The sequence below is a fragment of the Homo sapiens genome, chromosome 12, assembly GCF_000001405.40.
Source record: "Homo sapiens chromosome 12, GRCh38.p14 Primary Assembly".
NCBI classification, from domain to species: domain Eukaryota; kingdom Metazoa; phylum Chordata; class Mammalia; order Primates; family Hominidae; genus Homo; species Homo sapiens.
The window spans coordinates 72651055-72674813 of NC_000012.12; the positions used below are offsets into that span (position 1 = coordinate 72651055).

General features: G+C 32.9%; 1 protein-coding gene across 4 annotated transcripts in view; it reads left to right on the top strand.

Annotated features, from left to right (window-relative positions):
- The window catches only part of TRHDE (thyrotropin releasing hormone degrading enzyme), a 583493-nt gene extending 563789 nt beyond the window's left edge, over positions 1–19704 (top strand). For 3 of the 4 annotated variants that reach the window (XM_017019244.2, NM_013381.3, XM_011538248.3), the window contains 4 exons: positions 1268–1435; positions 1962–2102; positions 5873–5954; positions 11998–19704. In XM_017019244.2, the coding sequence (XP_016874733.1) occupies positions 1268–1435; positions 1962–2102; positions 5873–5954; positions 11998–12141 (535 nt within the window). In that variant the 3' untranslated portion in view covers positions 12142–19704. Of the gene's footprint in view, positions 1–1267; positions 1436–1961; positions 2103–2590; positions 2739–5872; positions 5955–11997 lie in introns of those variants that run through there. The other variant, XM_017019243.3, reaches the window with a different exon arrangement.
- Positions 19705–23759: the final 4055 nt, after the last annotated feature.

Consider the following 23759-nt stretch of genomic DNA (forward strand, 5'->3'; position numbering starts at 1 on the left):
ATGTCTGTGTTTCCTTTGTTTCATTAAAAACAAATCAAACAAAATGTTTTCTAATGCCACAAGGAAAAAGGGCTTCAGTTAACAAAATTAAAGTAACGTTTCTCCAAATACTTTATTTGCTGAAAAAGAATAAGTTTAGCCTTTTCTGGGAACATTAATTTTGTATGATACTTTCTTAGAATTCTACACACTTGGTATAGTGCCACATATTCTGATTGTAGCCCTTCTTAGCTGCTTAACAAAATGAGATTCAGATCATCTTACTGGTAGTTATTCACACAATTCTTCCTGTTTTCCAAATACTCCTTTAATCATAGCAGTATTTTAATCATCATGGTCCTAAATCTTTAGAAGGCATTGTTTGCTTTTGCTATCCAGAGAAAGCAGTATATTACTGCCACATTCAAATTATTAATGAGAAATTTGATAATAGATTAGTGAATGTTGAAAAAAAGCAAAATTAAATTTTGAAACTTTAAAAAAAAGTATTGGAGCATTTTTCAGAGAAGCATATTAAAAAGTCAGTAAATGTAGGGTACATACCAAAACTTAAAGAAATAATATTTAGTAAGAAAAATCACTAAGGCAAAGTAGGGATGAAAATTTTCAACTTATGAATAGCCAAGTCTAATTAAATTTACTCTTTCCCACTATAATATTGCATTTTGGATCAAAGTCAAATTTTAGTATATTTTATTTTATAAACATAGGAAAAAATAACTTTCTACTTATATTTTGGTATCTGTTTATTACCTATATTTATAATCTTCTAGGTCTCCAAAATTTGGAGAGTTGCTTGAGAAAATTACTGATAGAGAAAGTTATCTAAGAATTTAAGAGAAAATGTTTCCGTTCTATCCAAATTAATTAGTGTCCTCAACTGGTACTTTCTTGACATTCTTGGGTCTACCAATTATGAGAGCAAAATCTTTGTGTAATAGCCATATTAAAGTTGGTGAAAAGATAAAGTGCCTTATTTTCATGGGTTTGTGAAGCCTTTATGTTACTATTTTTGTTTAAGTATAGTCAAGAGTGGAAATAATAATTATGTTCAAAACTACCTTTGAATAAAAGACATTATTTTATTCATCCAGTGAGAAATATTTTTAAAATATTATTACTGTGTAGTATTCTGTTTCAGGTAAAATCTAATTAGCAAAATAATCTTTTAAAAAACTGACTGTAGTAAATAAAGCAAAACCTGTCTTTATTTTCAATACTGTTAAGCTTTTAATTAACAGAAAACCACCATGGGTTGCTTCTTTAGAATACCACTAAATGTTAGAGACATCGTATACTGTACAGGAGTGTCACTACTGGATGAGGATGTCTGGGAATTCATATGGATGAAATTCCATTCCACCACAGCAGTTTCTGAGAAGAAAATATTATTGGAAGCCTTAACTTGCAGTGATGACAGGAATTTATTAAACAGGTAGGCCGACTGATTTTCTAAATGTGTTTCTCTAATGAAAGTATTCTGTTAATCAAATTGCTCTGAAGTTGCTTTTATTTACTTGAATATATGCTAGTTATTTTAAAATATATCTTCCTAAACATGAGGAAAACTGCCATGTTAATGACTAAAGCTACTTGATTTCAGAGGTTATATCTTTTTATGAGTATTTATTTTATATAATTTATATATGTTTAAGAAGATATTTTATTATAAAAGTGTTTAATATAAAGAATTTAAAAGGAGAATTTGAATCATCAAACCAGAATTGTGATATATCCTTTCACAAGATTTTTTTAGAATTTAATGTTTTTAATTAAAATACTATGAGTTTGATCCTCTTTTATAAACAGAAATGTGTTCTATTTATAAGTTTGCATTATTAAAGATTGCACTAGACTATTCTTTTGAAGAATATGACAAACTAGGTCCTATAATTTTAGTAAGATTATAAAAATGTTTAAGTTATTGGACTAAAAATTTTTACAAAATTCTATCTTTGAAGGCTTCTAAATCTGTCACTGAATTCTGAGGTGGTGCTGGATCAAGATGCAATTGATGTCATAATCCATGTAGCTCGAAATCCACATGGTCGAGACCTTGCCTGGAAGTTTTTCAGGGATAAATGGAAGATATTAAATACCAGGTAGAAATTAGAATTCTTACTTGAATGAGTAAATTAAAGCCGACATAGGAGGAATAAAGGCCCAAGTTTTGTGTTAAAGCTAAGATCCATGCAATAGGTTTAGATATTAAAATATTCAACCAAGATAAATGTTGCCACTCCCGTGGAACTCCAAATTATTTTTAAAATTCTATAATTCATTTATTAAAATTGATAAACTTAATTAATTATATGTGCAAACATTTGGAGTATAAAAGGCTTAGCTGAGCAACTTTCCTGGAAAATCTATCAGACTGTCCAAAGTTGAAGACACTGTATCATAAAACCCCTGTATCTTGAATATGTTATAGAAATGATTTATAAATACAGTGGTATTATAAAAATAAAACGTTAATTACTTCCGTATAATTGTTTTAAATTTTCTTTAAATATAAATATCTTAAAATACCTGAATAAAACCATGATATAGAGAAGGAATATTAATCATTTGAATCATTGTATAATTCCAGTTGCAGTAAAATTTACTCCCAGGACATCTTGTTTCATGGTGAGAATTCTTTAGCCTCAATTTTATAAGATATTTCATTATGCATTTAAATATATTATAATACACACTAATTTATTACTCTGATAATCTCTATGGCCTATTAAAATTCAATTTATTATAAAGCATGTAAATGCTGCTTGTTTTTCTTTAACTTAAATGTTCCCAGACAGTAAGCAGACTTACTGTTCTGTCTCTGAAAAGCTAGTGTATAAACTTTATTATTTTTAAGCATACCTTCATCAGTTGCCCTGGTATAATCAGTTCAATTAGAATGGCTGTGTCATATTAAAACACTCTATCCATAGGTATTTCATTGTCAGAAAACACTGATATTTCTATAAGACACATTGACTTTTTTAATATTTTCAGCTCAGATCTTATAATAGTTGGACGATTAAAGCTTGCTTTGCTTTTGTGCATATAATAGAGTGAATAGACACTTAAGGTAAAATTAATGTATACAAACATTTAACTTAAAAGAATATCAAACATCTACCAATACACAGTTTCTTTAGGGAGTGGTTTTGTAAATCAGCGTTCAGGGCAATGCAATTATAGGCATATATAGTTTATTGCCTACCAAAAAATGTTTGGTTCCTGATATGCTTATTTTGTCTCACTGAATCCATGATCTCCATCCTATCTAAAAATACGATGGTGTTTACACTGACAAATAGGAGCATAATCTTCACTGGCTCCTGCTCCTCTGTCGATTTTTTGAATGCTGGCATTCACGGAGCTCTGTTGAAGGCACTCTTCTTCCCACTCTGCAAGTTCTTCCTAATTTTAGATGCCTTCTACTCTCATGGTTTCAATTACTCCCAAATCTGTATCTCTAATTCAGACATTTTCCCTGCCTTTCTCCCTGTGATGGATAATTGGCCATAGAGGTTTCCTTTATGAGTGTGCCTGCAAAGCTAAATGGGTGATTTTTCTTTTATCCTCCTTTTCTCAGTAAATCTTGTAGCCATCCACCAATTGCTCAAGCCCAACATCTGGAAGTCTACATAGGCGTCCCCTTTTCTCTTGCCATATATAACAATTAGACTCTAGGTTATATCAATTTAACATTTTCTAAAGTTTGTTGAATTATTCCTCTCTTTTTTTGTGACCACTTCCCCAGTGCAGGTTCTCATCTCTTCCCAGTACTCTTACAATAATAGCCTTCTGTCTCACTGCCTCTATAATTATATAAACACACTTTAGCCTCTTCCCTTCATCCCAAGAACCTTTCAGAAAAGCAAATGTGATATTTCCCTGCTATAAAACTTTCTATGTGAGATTTATAATTTAAGCCCCTTAATATGTCCTCTGCATATTTTGTCAGCGTCTTGTTCTTCAATCTTCAGGCTCACAATGTATCAGTGTATGGACTAATTTTTGTTGTTGTTGTTGTTGTTTGTTTTTTGAGACAAGGTCTCACTCTGTCACCCAGGCTGGAGCGCAGTGGCACAATCACAGCTCTTTGCAGCCTTGACCTCCTGAGTTCAGGTGATCCTTCCACTTCAGTCTCCTGAGTAGCTGGGACTACAGACATACACCACCACACCCGGCTAATTTTTCTATTTTTTGTAGAGAGAAGTTTTCCCCATGTTGACCAGGCTGGTCTTGAACTCCTGAGCTCAAGCAATCCACCTGCCTTAGCTTCCCAAAAGTGCTGGGATCACAGGCGTGAGCCACCGCCTTGGCCTGTATGCACTGTTAATATCAAACTGCTTGTAGTTGTCTGCACAAACCATGTCTTTTCACGTCTCTTTTTCTTTGTTTATGTTCATCTTCTGCCTAAAATTACTTTCTTTCCTGTTGCTCAGAACTACTCCATGGTCAATCTAGATGCCATTTTCTCTCAGAAGCCATTCCCAAGACCCTACAGATAAAGAAATCCTCTCTGAGCACTGTGTATAATTTTATCACCACATTTAGCCACAATACGTGGAAATTATCTGATTACATGTCTAGCTCTTCAAGTGGATAGTATAATACCTTCAAGGAACAGACTGTACCTTATTATTTTCTTATTATATCTTCACAGGACAATATAAGTAAAAACAACTAACACTTCTTTAGAAAAAAATTGTTATTTGCCTGCATAATTGGACAATTTTGTACCCACATACTGATTGAAAATGATCACTTACATTATTATTGAATGCCTATTTGTTTGCTTTTACTTAGCTAGCTTTTTTTCTGTGGAATAGTTCAATGTCAGAATTACAACAAATCTCAGTGGTCATTTAGTTCAACCTTCTCATTTTATAGATGAGAAAACTAAGTTCTACAGAAGCTAAATTAAATCTTAAATTAGATGCTTAAGAGCCTACAAGTTAGGGAAGCACTGGAAAACCTATTATAACAGTGTGTAGATCCTTGTCTTTAAAAACCCAGAGTCTTATTTTTATTGTACTCACCTTAGTTCTAAAAGTATGATAATCTGTGATAGGTATCCTTAGCATAGAAGGGACAAATCAGTAAAATGAGTATTCTTTTCAACTCACTGACACAAGTTGTTCCTTGTCTTGGGTCAAAAGTCAAGTAATTGTGTCTGTAGTACAAGGATTAGGCAATCCAAATGAACAAGTAGATGTTTTACTTTAATGTACACATGAAAAAAGCTAATATTTTGGAGAACATTTTTGAGAATGCATTTTGCCTCGGTTTCTAAGAATGAAATATAAAAATGCATTTTTGAGAATGTATTTTGCATCAGTTTCTAAGAATGAAATAAGAAAATGCATTTTTGAGAATGCATTTTGCCTCAATTTCTAAGAATAAAATAATATGAAAATGCCAGTGTCAATTATGACTAATCATATCAAAGGATCTGACAGTGCCCAGGTTGATCCTGCAGCTCCTCTTGCCTTTTATGGAATCATTTTCCCTTCCAGTAAGCTAGGTTGCTTTGTAATTGAAAGTTTTAAAATATTTTGTTCTCAGGCCTTGGCTTGGAAATATACTGTTAATCCCTAAATCCAGTTTTAGAGGGCCCCTTTAAAAAATTTGCTACAACTCAGACTTCTCTGAAACACTGTGAACCATATTAGGTGGGACCTGATGATATCCCAAAGCCATAACTCTTTGTCCCTCCCTGACTCCCTAGAGAAATGGGCTTGAGTGCTCAGAGATCTGGCAGTCTCTGACAACACTGAGCAAATCGAACCCTTGAGAAAACTCTAAAAAATCTTTATAGTAATATTTTTTAAAATTATGACCTGCATTGACATTAAGACTCTTTTTTTCTTTTGAGGTATGGAGAAGCATTGTTTATGAATTCCAAACTCATCAGTGGTGTCACAGAATTTCTTAATACTGAAGGTGAACTCAAAGAGGTAAATATTTTAAGATGAAGTCTAATTATTTTCTTTTATAAACATTTGAAATTATGCATTTACTTCAGTCATTTCTTTCCAACAGATTCACATCCATTCCTTTTACTTACACACGCACACCACACACACACACACACGTTAAAGACTACTCAATTCATAATTTGCAAAGAGTATTTTTACATGTCAAACATTGAAGGCCTGCAAGGAATGTTTGAATGTAGTAATTTTCAAACCTGGAGACCCACAATCCACTTCAGAGATCATTGATCCAATCAGCTATTCCTCAAATGATTCTATTAACCCACTGTAGGATTCACTAAATAACAAAACCATCCTGTCAGTGACTCAGTATTTGTATAATGGACAAAGGTTGGTGTTGAGATATAGACCATGTGTCTCACTGCTTTGTGGTCAGCCTTAAACAGACAACGGACATACTGTACATAATAATATTGCTTTGTGCTATGTAGCCTCTTAAATGAAACAAATTCTTAAGCGTAGAAAGGAGCATATCTGGTAATACATATTGAGATTAATAAATTGCTTTAAAACTGCTTGGTACAATCACAAGTGAATTTTATTAGTGAAAATAAACTTGATTTTTAAGGACTGGTGTCCAGGTTATGGAGTATCTAACATTTCCTTACTATGTTGTTTCTGGTTTATTACTCTGGAAATTTAAGCCAGCTAGTTTTGTTTGTTTGTTTTGCCATTAAGTCACCTCACTAATATAGAGAGATGAGAAATGGGGAGAGGGTTAAGGATGAAGGAAAAATAAGCAAAATATAGACTCTTTTAATTGATTACAATGGATCGCACTTCAAACATTGATGGCCTTTTCTTGTGCTCCTGTTCTCCATTGTAAAATATAGCTGATATTTGACATTGAGAATGATGGTTTTCTCAGTTTTCACTGACAGAATGCCTAATGCTGTGCCCCACAGCTAACCACACTGAGCACCATTCCCTAGAAGCATCAACCCTGGCACCATCCTTAATATCTTCTAATATTGTCCAGTTTCCTATGATTATCCCGTGTGCACTAACTTGGTTTCTTTCACACCATGAGCTAAGCTAAGCTAAGTCTCTGATTGTAATGATTTGAAATTCAGTCTTTATCCCTGCTATGTGTGTTCCCAACCCTGAAGGATTAAATTTGAAAGCCCCAGAACATATTTTACTATTTTTTAAATAAAGGAAGCTAAATGGAAAGGACTGTTTTCATATCCATAAAAAACAGAAAGAAAGAACAAGTAAATTAATGATTGCTTCCAATTTTCTCTGTATTTAAATGAAGTACTTTTAATTTCATGATTTCACATTCAATAATCTGGGAATTAAAGACTCATTTAGTCACAACCTGTGCAGCCATTGAAGTGAGCACAGAGCAAAATCTCTCCCTCTTCTCTTCTCTCCTGTTTGCTTCCTTCGTTCTCTGTGCTTCTCTCCTTCTCTTTTATCTCCTCTCCTCCCTACCTCTCTCTTATCCCTTCTTTAATTTTTCTTCTTCTTGCTTTCCTCTAACTCCGTTTGCCTTTCATATTTTCCTGGACTTGGTATTACCCAGGCTATGAAAAGAAAATATTTTAGACATTTAATTGATTTTATCACATACTGACTGTTTTGTCTTACATATTTCACTGATTTATTAAATTTTTACACTTTATTTAATTGCCATTTTAGATGTTTCAAAGTGCTCCTATAATGAAGGGTATAATTTCAAAATTGAAACTAAATTATGGCTTTTATTTCATTATCTACAAAGCAGCTAACATCACAGTGCAGTCTCTAAGTGGCATGAGGAATGAATCTCTTCACTCTGGAGTTATTTACTCTGGCTTAGCAGTTTAACAGATGCTGCCTGAGGCTTTTGAATACTTACATCATCTCTAAGATTGAGGAACATTATTGTCAGATGGGGTGGGGGTTTTGGTTTTTATGGTGATAACCACCCTTTCTTAAATAGAAAAGTCTGAGGAGAATTCACTTGCATTCTACCATAACCCATAAGCCTCATAAGCAGAAAGCCCAATGGGCTCCCTTTGGATATGACATATTCTTATTTCCAAGGGTTTATAGATCAAAAGGGAATCAGCATCTTTATGAATTCTGAAAACTCATTCCAGATTTTAATGATCCTCATCAGCTTTAGGTGGATTCAGTAAAGACGCTTACATTGTTCCATGGTTTTCTCCCAAAAACAGTATTCTAGTACCTGAAACTGGAGTTTCCTTTTAATTTTAATTGCATGGCTCTAGCAATTTGAACAATATTTCTTCATAAGGCAATCTGTTATTTATTTAATTTTAAACTAATGGAGATGATCTTCTTGAACCTCAGAGGCCCTTGCCATTTTTCCACATTAATGACTATTAACCAGTCCTTTCACATGCCCATTTTTCTGCTTTTTAAACCTAACATACCTCACTGTTGTGGAGGAACATAGATCCTATGCATCAAAGGCATTACATTTACAGTTTTAATATTGAAGATATAAACTTTGTAATAGGGCAATAGTTAATTCTATTCATTTACATAGTTATTAAGAGTATATTATGTTTTACAATCTACTCTAAAAATAATTTATCTTATGATGTTGATATCTAGGATACCCTGAAATAAGAGGAAATTTTAATGCTGAAATCTTTTTAATAGAAAAATTAACAAACATGCTTCAAAGTTTTATGCTAAGAAGATAGGGAGCACAAACAACATTGCCATTTTATTAAATGTTATTTTATAAAAGTGCCTAAAGTTGCAACATTTTAAAATAAAATCATATCATGGTATAGTTAGAAAACACAATTTAAAACAAAAACAAAAACTAATGGTGTAGGGTCCAGCCCTACAGGACTTAGCAGGTATTCTCCCCGCTTGCGGAGACAAGAGATTGTAAGAAATAAAGACACAAGACAAAGAGATAAAGAGAAAACAGCTGGGCCCCGGGGACCACTACCACCAAGATGAGGAGACCGGTGGTGGCCCCAAATGGCTGGGCGTGCTGATGTTTATTGTATACAAGACAAGGGGGCAGGGTAAGGAGGATAAGTCATCCAAGTGATTGATAAGGTCAAGCAAGTCACATGATCATGGGACAGGGGGCCCTTCCCTTTTAGGTAGCCAAAGCAGAGAGGGAAGGCAGCATATGTCAGCGTTTTCTTCTACGCACTTATAAGAAAGATCAAAGACTTCAAGACTTTCACTATTTCTTCTACTGCTATCTACTACGAACTTCAAAGAGGAACCAGAAGTACGGGAGGAACGTGAAAGTGGACAAGGAACATGAGCATTGAAGCACAGCACCACAGGGAGGGGTTTAGGCCTCTGGATGTCTGTGGGTAGGCCTGGATAATATCCAGCCTCCCACAAGAAGCTGGTGGAGCAGAGTGTTCCCTGACTCCTCCAAGGAAAGGAGACTCCCTTTTGCAGTCTGATAAGGAACGGGTGCCTTCCCTGGCACTGGCATTACCGCTTGACCAAGGAGCCCTCAAACGGCCCTTATGCGGGCATGACAGAGGGCTCACCTCTTGCCTTCTAGGTCACTTCTCACAATGTCCCTTCAGCACCTGACCCTATACTCGCCGGTTATTCCTAGTTTATGTTAGTAATGCAACAAAGAGTAATATTAAAAGCTAATGATTAATAATGTTTATACTAATGATTGATAATTGTCCATGATCATCTCTGTATCTAATTTGTATTATAACTATTCTTTATTCTAACTATTTTCTTTATTACACTGCTACAGTTTGTGCCTTCAGTCTCTTGCCTCGGCACCCGGGTAGTTCTTCGCCCACAAATGGCAGCATAAATCCTACCAAAGAGTGGAAGAAATAAGCAAACTAGAATGCTAACTGCCTTTCTTTTACCCCAAGCCCTCTAAGGTGAGGCAGGGGTTTGTAAGGCACTGTGAGCATGCGCTAGGGCCAGTCAGAGGCAATTCCAACCACATGTTGGATATCAGAGCTATGGAGAATTATGGGGCATAAGATCAATTAATGGCAACTGTAGAAAGTAGGCCAGATGTGTTCTGATGAGTAAGTTCCTCTTAAGATACATATGAGGCACCTCAGACTCTCTGAGCCCACAAGGGGAGTATTTACTGCACTTAAATCATGATTTAAGAAGTGAATCTCTAGAGACCCACCAGTTCACATTTTCTGTTGAGAGTTCTTTTGCAGGATAATCCAACCTACTATCTCTCTGTCAATAAACGTTCATATTCAAACCCATAGTTTGCCTTTGAGGAGGACTTAAGAGTTTTACTTTATGTGTTTAGGCTGGCTTACCATCTCATAAGGAAGCCAAGAGCATGCTCCACAGAGTTAAAGTTGCTAAAGGGTCATTTATGACTCTCTGGTGTATTCAGTGACTGCCTAGGAAAAAAAGTAATAATTCAGAATATACTTTAAAAGGAGCATATGTAATTTTTTTCCGATTGACCTATAACATGTAAATAATGCCATTATAATATCATATTTTTATAATAAATTAAAACAAAATTCAAAACATAGATCAAAATGTATTACTTTTTGCCTTAAGGATATAGACTGGATGAGTCTGAACATAAATATATAAGTACAAATGTATTCTTGTGTTAATCAGATAAAGTTTAAAATTATGATTCAAGTACTTCCATTAGACTCCCCCTTTATATATGTGTGTATATATATTTCTATCCCCATGGCACAATGTCTGCAACATTAATATTTATTAACTCCAATCCCTTTGCTTCTTCCTTTTTTCTTAATATATGTAATTTGGTCAAATGCCATATCAGTTTTAAGGACAACACCCATAAGTCTTTGTTATACATTGGCTATTTTACATGTTTGTTATGAAAGCACAGTGATTTAGAAATCTTCTAAAGGATGTACCTCTGAGATACAGTTATCCATTGCTAATGCTGCTGGGCAAAGGGCTTTGTAGGAAAGCAGAGTAAAAACTCTGAGAAAACCCATCAGTATCATGTAATCAAAGTAACACTTATAAATAAACTAAGCTATCCATGAACTAATTTCTAAATCAATTCAGAAAGTTATAACCGCATTTTAACTCCATCCTTGACTACCATTTCTGCCTGCCCCTGAGCCAATCTTGATACACTGCATTTCCCTCCTGGCATATCTTCCATGTGGTGCCCACCATATGATGAATTACACCCCACACTAATTACACCACATAATGATTCTGTGTTGCAAGTTGATTTTTCACATTTGTCTATTAGCATCACAATTGTTAGTTCATTGCCAGCTTCTTAAGATATATCAAACAGAAAGGAAAAACTTCTGGTATTTAATCTTGAAGTAAAATCTTGGAGTATTTCCAGAGTATGTGAACTCTCCAAATAAAATTTTATGTCAAAAAATATGGCAAAACATTTAAGAATTATAACTTAAATGCTCAGATTCTCCAGCTAAATAAGACCATATCCCTCCTTTATTCTTTCAAAATCTAGTTACGCAGGTGATTGCCATGTCATTAATCATACAATTTTTATAGCACCATTACTTTTTTTCCACTAGACAATACTTTGGTTATTCAATGACATCAAAGATAATGTCAAGCCCAATACCACTCATTTGGAGAAGATGAAAAATAATTTTCTCTCTGCAGACAAAATGTGAACTTTAATCCTTATATTCAGTGTTTAAGGCTACTTGGTGCATTGTATACACATTGAAGTTAGAACTAGTCCTTGCCACAATCCCATCAACTGATTTTGAAATGATCAATTAAATGTCTGTTTTAATATCTAATCATGAAACATGAAGCTGAATTTGGAGCTATTTAAGTTGTAATGTCCACTGTTTTTTTTCTGTTCCAAAATCAATTACATCACAACTAATTGACATAATCTGTCATATTTCATTCAGTTGCCAAGCTCACTCCACAGTACTAAATATATCTTCTATAGTGGTCATGGCATTTTGTTTCAAATATATTGTTTTTTAATGTTTCAAATAGATTCTTGTTCATGTTTGTTGGACATGAGTTCTTTTTAAGACAGGCAGATTTACCATTTAAAAATTTCTCTTTCCAGCTCAAGAACTTCATGAAAAACTATGATGGGGTAGCTGCTGCTTCTTTCTCACGAGCTGTGGAAACTGTCGAAGCCAATGTGCGCTGGAAAATGCTTTACCAAGACGAGCTTTTCCAATGGTTAGGAAAAGCTCTAAGACACTAATATATGTATCTTATAAACAAACAATTCAACTCAGAAGTTTATGAGAAGACACGCTTTTTGTGGAATGAGGAAAATGTACTACCTAGAAAATGGCCAGATTTTCAGTGTTAACGTGTGGGAGGAATTTTTTTTTTAGTTTTTATTTTTTGGTTTTGGGGGATATTTTTTATTTGTTTCATTCATTCTGTTCTGTTTCTCTACTGGGTGTTCCTCTCTAAAGAAACTCTTGCAAGTGAAACTAGCCATGATTGCTTCAGCTGTACATTCCTTGCTGTACAGGACCAAATATGATAGTGATGCATGTTGATGTTACAGTCAATTTGGAAAAACATATTCAGAATATCTGTGCATGGATATATTGTCCTGCCTGTGTTCCAGCATGCTTATTTCAAACGTCCAGTGTTGTGTGTGAATATGTGTTACACCTAGGATGGGCATTATGCAAAAGCACAAAGATTATATATGACAATCAGTATTGCAATGAAAGAAAAACTAAAAACAGAAATGATATTCTCAATTTTGGGCAATGTGAGAGGTAAAATAGCCCTTGACATGATGAACATCACTTATTTCAGCACTTGGATTGTCTGGCAATGATTACTGTGTTGCTAACTCATTTTCTTTGAGTTAAAGCTGTGTATACATTTTAAAAGGCATATAGATAGTGTATGCATATGTATATGTACATAGGGAAGCCCCATATGTATATAGTATGTTGTACACTGCACATGTACAAAGAATGTCTTCAGATCAAAGAAAATTTATCTCTTTTTATAAACTTAAGGACAGTTGCAAAAGGCTTCAAGGAATTTATCTCAACATTATTCTTTCTATGTCCTAACTAAATTTCTCAACTGTTATGAATTTTTCATCTACTTCTTGAACAGTGGTCTATTCTGCTACATGAAGATGAATACAAACAAAATTTTTGTATAAACTACTATTCCAGTTCTCCTGTGTCAGTCTTGCCTATAGATTTTGCCATCGTTTTCTGTCAAAGTTCCTTTTGCATGAAACAATTATGCAAACTTATAATTATTAGTGCTGAAAAAGAGTTTATTTTCCATCTTGTTTGTTTTCCTACCTTATGCTGAGTAGTCCAGAGAGTTAAAAAAATTCTCTGCATGTTGGTCTTTTAAGTCTGTTTTGCTCTAATCCTCCATTAAGCGAGCATACCTCAAGTGGGTCTATTAGCATTTAATGACCTTTTGTGCCAGTTGTGCCATCCCTTAAGATGAAAAGTTCCTTTTCTTGTGTTAATGTACAAAGCTTTTCTTTTGGCACTGACAACTGTGTTCTACCTGGGAATTTTGAATAGCCATTTTCATGGCTGTGTGTTGTGTAACACAAATGTTTTTAAATGGTATTCTCACCCAGTAGGCCAGCTCTCCAAACGTTGCTTAGATGCTTCAAAATTAGCATATTTTAAGTTTACCAGTATAAAATACCAATGCAACTACTCTACATAGCCAAATGTTTGTAAATCACGTCTTATTTTCCTGAGGTTTTTCACTCCACCAAATCTTACAAATCATTGAAAGAAATATATTCTAACAGTACGCACTGAATAGTGAAAATAATTAGACATTTTAAGAACCAGAGCCATAGAATTATTTTAAATTAGTAGAAAAGAGGAGCTATTTCCGAATCTATAGAATAAAGTACCACCTAAAACTGAATTTTATCATATAAGCAAGTAATACCTATTAGTCATACCTAAATTTTTCAGCACTTCATTCAATTAAAATACATGAATTTTAAATATTTTACATGATGTGAATAGGCATGATAATACTTTTAGTATAAAATCTAAACTTTTTCCATTTATCAGAAATGATAAAATCCAGTTACCACATATCACGTTTATAAAATCCTTAATTAAATGAGTAACTTCTAAAATATAACAATACTAAATATCACACTGCGATGGAGGTCCCAAATATGTGGTCTATCACCACTGAATTCATGTAATAGATAAGAAAAAAATTAGAGGTGGATGTCTTGTTTTGTGTCATGAATTACTAAAATCTCTTAGTAGTTGTGGTATATTTTTGAGTAAAATTACCATTTCCAGATTTGAGTTTGAAGGGCTTTTATAGTTGTATTTTCCTCCTCACTGTTAATAATCATAATCCTTTTTCAGTATTTTAGTGGCCTTGAACAACTGGTTTATCTACAATCTCAAATCCTAAGTGTATAATTATGTGCAATGTTCAATACCTCATATAATACTTGCTCAACAGTATAGTGGTACCAATGGCATTAAGATGGTGTTTTTGTTCTACATATTTTTCAATAATTTATTCTTTCTAATGTTGAAATTATATCAGGCTTTACCGGTTTTTTTAGTTGTTTAAATAAGTAATATTTTCAAAAGAATAAAATAACCAATGATATCTCTTGGAATAATCTGTAAAACGTAGTTATAAAATTCTATTTTCTACTTAGAGTTTTTATCTTTTCTTTTTTGTCGGCTTTACAAATTATATGTATGCATGAAATAACTAACTGTTGAAAGTGTCCAACCTCCAGCCATAGCAATTTGCTGTGCCAATATGTGTACAAAAAAGTAGTTTCAATTAGAAAGGACAACATTATTTATCACATTGAGTATTAAACATTTCCAGGTAACTCGTAAATAAAAAGATTTCCCCATTTTTACACATTTTTTCTTAAAATTTTTCTATAATCTTTGAAGTTTCTAAAATACACAATCTCAACCTCTAAGACTAACATCTACAATACTAGGTCTATTCTTGAGTTTCAATAACATGTATTTTAGTTGGGTCATAAACTTGCATTATTTTATATTATCTCCAGGACAATTATATCATAGGACTAAGATTTTTGTGATAGTATTATTTACAAATATTATAAGTATAATATCTTGTGAGGCTATTATTAAGGTTATGCCATGTATTGATAAAATGCATTGCTTTCTCAAAGAACTGTTACACATTTTGTTTTATTTGACTCATCACAAAAACATAATAAATGTTGTGAGCCCTAATATTCTGATGAGAAAACTGGGGCTCAGGTAGCAACATGAGCTATTTAAAACTACAAAATAGGGCTGGGCACAGTGGCTCATGCCTGTAATCCCAGCACTTTGGGAGGCTGAGGGTGGGAGGATCACTTGAGCCCAGGGGTTTGAGACCAGTCTGGGAAACATATTGAGGCCCCATTTCTATAAAAATAAAAATGAAAACTAGCCAGGCATGGTGGTGTGCACCTGTTGTCCCAGCTACTGGGGAGGCTGAGGTGGGAGAATTATTTAAGTCCAAAAGTTCAGTGCTCTAGTGAGCTATGATCACTGTACTCCAGCCTGGGTGACAGAGTGAGATCCTGTCTCTAAAAAAATAAAATAAAATCACAATGTTTGTTGTTATTTTGGGAACCAATATAACAACCTAAGTCTATCACAACATCATTCCCCAACTAAAATATAAATATATGTTGAAAATATCTCTATCGATTGCATTAATTGGAGATTTTCCAAATACTAGACCAGCATCAAAATACACAGTTAAATATATTTGCAATAATTCCATTGTTTGTTAACTTTTGCATTTCTAATTTGCAGGATGTTAAACAACTGGATGAAATGTTATGATTTAATTTGGTCAGTATAAATAATCAAATATTGGGACAAATAATTTAATTCATTTAGTTTATTAATTATATTTCCTGTCTGTATCTTTTATTGAACATTGTTTAAACATAACCTTAAAGTACTGATAATTTGCTTAATTTTCAACACAAATTTATCTGACAAATTCTGTCTATAGTAACAGATGGTCAGAATGCAGATAAATTGTGTGCATCTCAATCAGTAAAAATAATATTCAGTAAAATGTCTATAAATCTATGCAGATTAAGTTGTGAAAAACAATGCAATTTTAGTACTACTGGATTAGATGCAGTAAAGGAATCCCTAAGGAAGTTTACAATAATATATTTAATTAAAATCTACTGGCAATTAGAATTTTAAGGAATTCTTTTCTAAGAAGTTGGAGAACCTAAAATAGCTTGCTTATTCGCCTGGGTACTCTCATGAAGTAACCATGTACACCTAATAAAGAAATAGTAAAAGCACATATAATGAAAAATAATTAAGATTTCTTACACCTGATTTTTTCATTATCAGAGATAATTATCAGAGATAATTTTTCATTATCAGAGATCATAGCTGAATTATCATTTGACAATACATAAGAATATATATTGTATAGATACAATATATAACTATACTTAAAGAAATATTTATTGAGCATCTTTTATTTCACAAGGCACTTAGTGAGGGAAAGGAATACAGAGATGAATATGGCCTGAAGGAATGAACTCATATTACAATAAATGAAAAAGAAAAAGAAATAATGAACCAAGGGAATGAGGGCAACAGGAAAAATAATTCCTTGCTACAGACGGGAAGTCAATCATTTTTAGGTATACATAATATTATACAACTATTTTTGTACACTAGTTCTCAAAACATTTATGATACCTAGTATAATTTTTATTGTTTGATTTCCTAGTGCTTACTTGTGTTTTACAGAAATATGTTACATTTTGAAATTATAATAAAATAATAGAGTTTAAACTCTAATAATTGGAATATAAATTGGGATGGAATTTATCCTTAAGAAAAGCTGTTTAAACAATTTAGTAGTATTAGTAAGTTGCAGGAATACTTTAATCTACTTACGAAAAAGTAGTTCAAGTTTTCTAAAATGGTTTCAGCATACTATCGGTATCTCACAATGTGTTAATTTTAAGTTAATTATATATTCTTTAAAGCAGATTAAATAATACTTGTCCTAAGCATAATTTATTTGTTGAAATTAGTATATGTGAACTTATGAAAAAATGTTCTTGTAAATTATTCTAGAATCCCAAATTTTAATTATATAAGAACAACCTTTTGTTCAATTGCTTTGAACTAATGATGAAGTTTTTTAAAATATTAAGTATTTTATTTAATGTGATATAGATTCAGGAAAAGTCTAACAAAAATGTACTTCAGTAGTTTTATTTTTATTTTGTGAAATTTTATTTTAAAGTTTAGGTAAGGAAAGTTTTTAAACTGTCTTAAATATTTAATAAAAGCAGTTGTTAAAAATATATGTTCTAATGTTAACTATATGACATATATGCCATTGCATGCATTTTGTTTTTTAAATAGGTTTTTCACCACTGGCCCCACTAGTAGATGATTTTACCCCAGATTTTGAAAACATACCACTTTAATGGCCTTTATTTCAAATACTTCGTACTTTAGGGATAGTATTTTGAAGATGTTTATCTTTTGTACATTCCTAGTTCATTTATTAATGTACTAAGAAAAAGAAAACAAAATGACTGATTCTTTTGTTTTGAATTAAATGTTTGTGCTGTATTAATGTTAAGTGAGTTAAGATAAAGGGAAGCTACAAAAATTTGAATGCCTACTAAATGCTAGGCACTTTATAGGTGTCTTCTAATATATGTCTATTGGTATCACATCAATTAATAACCCTGTGAAATGTCATTAGCTCTAATTCACCAAAGAGTAGATGGAGGCAGAGTTGTTATCAGTTTACATAATTAATTAGTGGTATTCACTTGGATTCAAAACTCTGCAAACTGAAGCCTTATATAGCTCAAACTAGTCATTAATCTGCCCTCAGCATGTATGAAAACATAATGTTTATCCGTACAGACCATTCTCTATAGCAGATTTGAATAGGTACTTAGCACACTTTATCATTGTCACTGGCTCTTTCGAAAGAAGTATTAATTTGTGCATTCTGGTTTACCATTCATTTCTTAACAAAGTTGCTTTATACGTTCCATAAAAAGTTTTCATGAAAACATTTTACATTAGCATGTTGTGTAGTGGGTTTTAAGTTATAACAGGTAATTAACAGATATTTCGGCCAACGAGACACACACACACATGAAAAAAATAAGTGAAAAGACAGAATAAATTGCAAAGGTTTTACGAGTGGACCACAAAGTTAAGGTTAAACTTCTGTCTTTGCATGTGGAGGAGACATATTAGTCTAGCCAGAACTTTCCTTTTGCTTAGCAGTGAGGTCAGAGAAGTATCTCTGTCATTCTGCTTAGAAGTATACATGGACTGCAATTGCTTAATTTACTTAAACTTAACATTTTCAATGGGTTTGCTGTGTGAAGATACAGTCTAAGATAAGTGCTTTGACTTGCCTCTGCAGAGGTCAACTTATTTCTCATCACACACATTTTTCTTATGTCATATAAGTAAAGGAAAGAGTGAAACGTTTTATAGAAAATATTACAGTGGAGTTAAGAACATCTGCCTCAAATGTACAGTGCATTTACTTTTTAAGTTAATCATTTAGTAGCTACCCTTTTAACCTCTACTATGTTCACAGTATTGCATTTGCTCTTGTAAACAATTTTGTTCCCACCTTTACATAGCGTATGACCTACTCAGTGAGAACATTCATTATTAAGTTTTTGCTATTAATTTTCATTTAAAATAGGTTTATTAACTAGCAAATCTCAAATGCAAAACATTTTTGAGTGAATTTTTCCTCAAATGTTGTATTCTACCTTTCAAAATATTGTGTAACAGCAATTCCACATTATCCTTTTGAATGCTACCTATATATTGCCACATATAAAGATATTTTTCATTTTTCATTTTTCATTGCTATCTTTTAATCCCTTTGCATTTTGATAATATCGAAAACAGATTAGGGCTGAAAAACTAAAAAAGATTAGGGCTTGTATTATGCATTGTCTAGTTACTTGAACAATAAGAGAAATTCTATCTTTGAGCTTTCATAATTGGCTTTCTGGACACCACTGAGTTTATTAGATAATCTTTAAAAATATTATGAACTATTTTGAGTGGACCTAAATTTATTCAGTAATAAAGTTTACTTTCCTAAATCCATTCCCCAAGTGAACAGGCTTATTTAAAATATGTCATATAAAAGCACTTTTCCTTTCTAACATTTTATGATTTAGGAATTAAAAAGTAGCTGTTCTTTCAGTAAATAAGTGTTAATAAAGCAGTGACCAAATAAATAACCTTTTGTTAGTTTAGCAGATAAATGTTTTCAATGTATGCCTTTAAAATTATTCAGTAAAAATTGAATTAGTACGTATTCAACATGAAATTTTTAGTCTTTTCTGACCAAGCACTAATAAAATTGATTTCCCTAAATGAGAAAATTTGTCTTCTGTATTTTAAGCAGAAAAAATATGAATTCTGCCTCTGATAATCAAATTTTGTACAGCAATGTGTAATGTGTCACAATTTAAAAAGTTTTAATTTTCTGACATGCAGATAAGGCCAAAATAAATAATACCATCTGTTTTTTTCACTTGAAAATACATTTTTAAAATTTTGAGTATATATATTATAGAGGTCCATGCAAATGGAAAAAAATTATTCTCTTCTGACATGGACTTTTTCATGACTATACACATGCTGAGGCTAGAATAAAAACATATATTTGTGCTATATTGTAAAAATAAAAACAATTTGTTCTCCTTTCTAATTATATGCCTTTAGAATAAATGAAATGATCTGCACTTTGGTAAAAAGTGATTTCACCTGAAATGCATTTCAGATTGCTTTTTAACAGGTTTTCTGCATTCAACAGACTGTCAGGCTCTGAATTTCAAGAACAGTTTTCAATAACAACAGGGCTATAAAATATATATAATCATGATTCGTAAGTAGTACTCAAAATATATTTTCAATGTCTCTGGGTTTTTCTGTTTCTAAGGATTAGGCAGAAAACATTAGAATTTGACTTTGCGGAGCCACTCATTTTAGCTTTTCCCATAATACTTTATACAGCCATAGATAATCCTCCTCTGGTCCGTGAACATGAGGGTAAGAAATAGAATGCCTTCCAAGCCAGAGCAAAGAATATTTCTATTAAAGGATATAGACAGTGTCTTGTGTGTGTGTGTGTGTGTGTGTGTGTGTGTGTGTACGTATGTATTTATATCTCTCCAGTAGTGTCTACATTACATATACATGTATAACATGTATACATATATTTATGTATAACTATATATAATAAAATATCCATATACTATGTATATACATAGTCTTATATACATACATTATATATACATATGTGTATATATCCCCAACAGCACATACATATATATATTATTTATTTCCCCGTCCAAGTGGTAATTGTGCTGCAGAAAAATCACATAAGTCAGAAAATGGCTATTGCAAAATATCAGTTGGGTACCATCTTAACTTGGAAACCTGTCAAATGAAAGGTGAATTATACTGGCATGATAGCAAGGATACTCTCTGAAAACCACGAGGGAGCTTACGGATTCTGGCTCAGCAGGTGTTGAATAGTATATAATCATCTACATTTTGAACATGGATTGTATGTGATTCTGGCGGAGGCGATCCATCTAGACTGCACTTTAAGAAACATTGGCTAGATAGAGGGCTTCTCACCCCTGACTTTACATCAGACTCACCCGAATTGTTTTTAAAACCTGATGATGATGCATGGGCTTCACTTCAAACCAACTAAAGAAGACTCTGGCATGGGGCATTCATTTAAGCATTTTTAAAAACACCTGATTTTAATATATAGCATTCAAGACCCCTGAGAGGAGGTACCAAATTAAGCATAAAATAGCTTGAGGATTAATTACAGAATACTACCGAAAGTACCTATTTCTCAAGAATCTAAGTTCATACTATTACTTGGCATTCTCCACCAAATATGGAAGTCAAAAATGTGTTCTCAATTAGCTTAATAGTGAAAAGCAAACAAGAAGTTTGGACAACTGACTTTATTACCCTGACATGTCACTGCCACAGTATAAATCTGAGTGGTCTGGTGCCATCCCCGTGGTTGCCTGACCTTTCCTGGTTCTGACTGACTTTCTGCTGTCACCCGCTTTATCTTATTATCCCCTTTCCCCTGTAGTCCTGTATAAATGAGGGTGAATAATTTCACATCTACTATTATCAACAATAACAAATTTTTAACTTTTATTTTGTTTTGCACATGTATCTTGGAACTTAAAGTAAAATACAAAAAAAAATAAAAAAAAGAAAGGAGGTTCCCATTGGAAGCGTTTTTCATTAAATGACTGTACCTTTACTCTGCTAAATAAAACAATTTTTTTTTCTGCTGCTCATTTCACAATTGCCTGACATTGGAGATCAGGAATGACATATGTTAAAATTGTTACTCAGAGAGATAAACACACCACAAACTATTATTATACACTATTGTCATCTGAAATGTTACTCCTTTTCCAGTTGTCTTTTGTTGTTGTTGTTGTTTTTACTTTATTCTCCTTTCTCTTTTTCTCTCATGTGACCTGCCAGCTGAGCATTGAGCCTTTTCAGCAACAGACACTGTATTTTTACTTGACATTGCAAAAAGAATTTTTAAGCTGCTTCTATATCTATGTGCATAATAGAAAGTGACATGTGTTCCTGGGATTGTCAAACAAGACCCAAAGGGCATCTGGATACATTGAAACTGCTTGGTTGTACTTTTGAGTCTTTGTGCTCATTCGTCAGTCCTTTAGTTCTGGCTTCCCTTGGGTTGTTAAAATTTGTTTTTCTTTCCTAAAGTCTCTAGCTAATTAGAGATTTCAGCATACAAACTAATCCTTTTTTTTTTTTTTTTCAATAAAAGGAGAACTGGAAATATTGTCACCTCTTGAGCATTTTAGCAGGCTGGTAGAGGAAAGGGTGAATTATTTAATTGGATAACTCTTGAGCCATATCTGACAAAAAAAATAAACTCTCATCCTCCTGTCCTCCTTTTGTTATTTTTTTTTCATTCTCCATCCTTCACCCCTTGTAATTGTTTTTATAGGATTTAGTATTGTACCTATTTTTATGCAGAAAGGAAATTTTTCTGTAGAGTAAGACCTTCCAATTTAGTAGCTTCTTATTAAGTTATAAGAATTCTTAGGATGAATAACTTTACTGAGACATCTGTGACAAATTTAGGTCTACCCAAGAACTCCAACAACTGCCTGCTGGGAAAAGAAAAAGAGGGAAATGCTTAATGAGCAAAGATCTATGTAAAAGTCCTAAAGCTAAATCTTAATAGGAAAGGCTTTATTTCAACCACTTGGAGGCATGCATGAAAATTTAGCACAAAATAAGGGATTGGAAAATAGGCTTACCATATTGATGACAGTGGTGGACTTTAGCAGACAGAGAATATGCAAAGATGCAACAGGTATGCAAATAACTCCAGGCAGTTTCAGCATGTCACGAATATATTTTATAGGCAATAGTTACTCTGGTTCTTGGTTAATCCAAATATTTTCCAGTGAATTTATTTGAGAAAAATAATTGAGTGAAATAAATGTAATGTTTCAGATTAAGCACAAGTTCTAAAGTAAATATTAATTTCAATCCTTCAATCTTATTCACATTGCCTATGAAGCGCAAAAGCTGGCTAGTGTTTATGAGGTGTTTAAGTGTGTATGTATGTGTGTATGTTTCAGATGGAAGAGGAGGGAGAATAAGAAAACGTTAAGAACAAATGACACAACTTTTGACCAAGCATATTTTCACATAAAATTGAAATTAAAGTCCCATGTTACACGTTGATATATTTTTCAATCTTTTAGAATTAGTTTCTTCAATTTGCTCGTTTGAAAATCCTCATATTCTTACATATGAAAATATACCTGGTGAGTTGGAGGAGAAATTTAGACTGAAGTGTAATATTATTATTTTTGGTTCAATAGAAAGTGACATGAGTTTCTAAAACTGTCAAACAAGATTCGGTAGTTATCTGGGTACGTAGAAACTGGGTGTTCTCTTGAGAGCAGAAGGAAAAAGCAAAATCTAGCTTTGGAGAAATGAAACTGAAGAACTCATGTTGACCTTTCTGGTTAGTAACAAAACAGGAAACCTAAAGCGAGAGGTGATATATGAACATCTCTTTGTTCTGCCACAAATTCTTTTTAAAATAGAGGTCCCCATGTGTTAAGTTTCTAGTCACTCTCAATACTTGGATCAAATGAGTGAAAGCAAATACTTTGCCTGAATTTCACGCACAAAAATCTCATTTGCTTTGACTATAGATGCTTTCCTTGCTTACTATAATACTCATCCTCACTTGAGATATTTGGTTTTGTAATACAGCCCTAGTATAATTAGCCACACTGCAAAGATAAAGCAAAATATCATTTGGCATACCCTAGTTTCTATACTTCTAGTAACATCTAAATTTGCAGTTTACTTATAAAGACGAGTTTGATCTACATAGCTCTTGGCTCAATTAAAGATCCAAAGTTTGAATATTGTTAAGCCAACTCTCAGTTAAATGTTGGCTGTTTTTTACACACAAGACAAAAAATTAATATTTTTTTCTTGCTGAATGTTGTTGTGTGAGAATTTGGGGATCTCGATAATGTTATTCCTTGTAACAATTTCTCTTTGTACATGTAAGTAGCATGTCACCTTTGTCCTCATTTAAATAATGACATGAGATTGTCATGGGATTTTTTCCCCCCAGATGTCATTGAGCCAGTAGATCTGATACCTGCCATTGGTTCCTCAGTTGGTTATTTGTGTAGATCCAGTGGTTAGGCTATGTTTACATGGTACCATATGTTGTTTG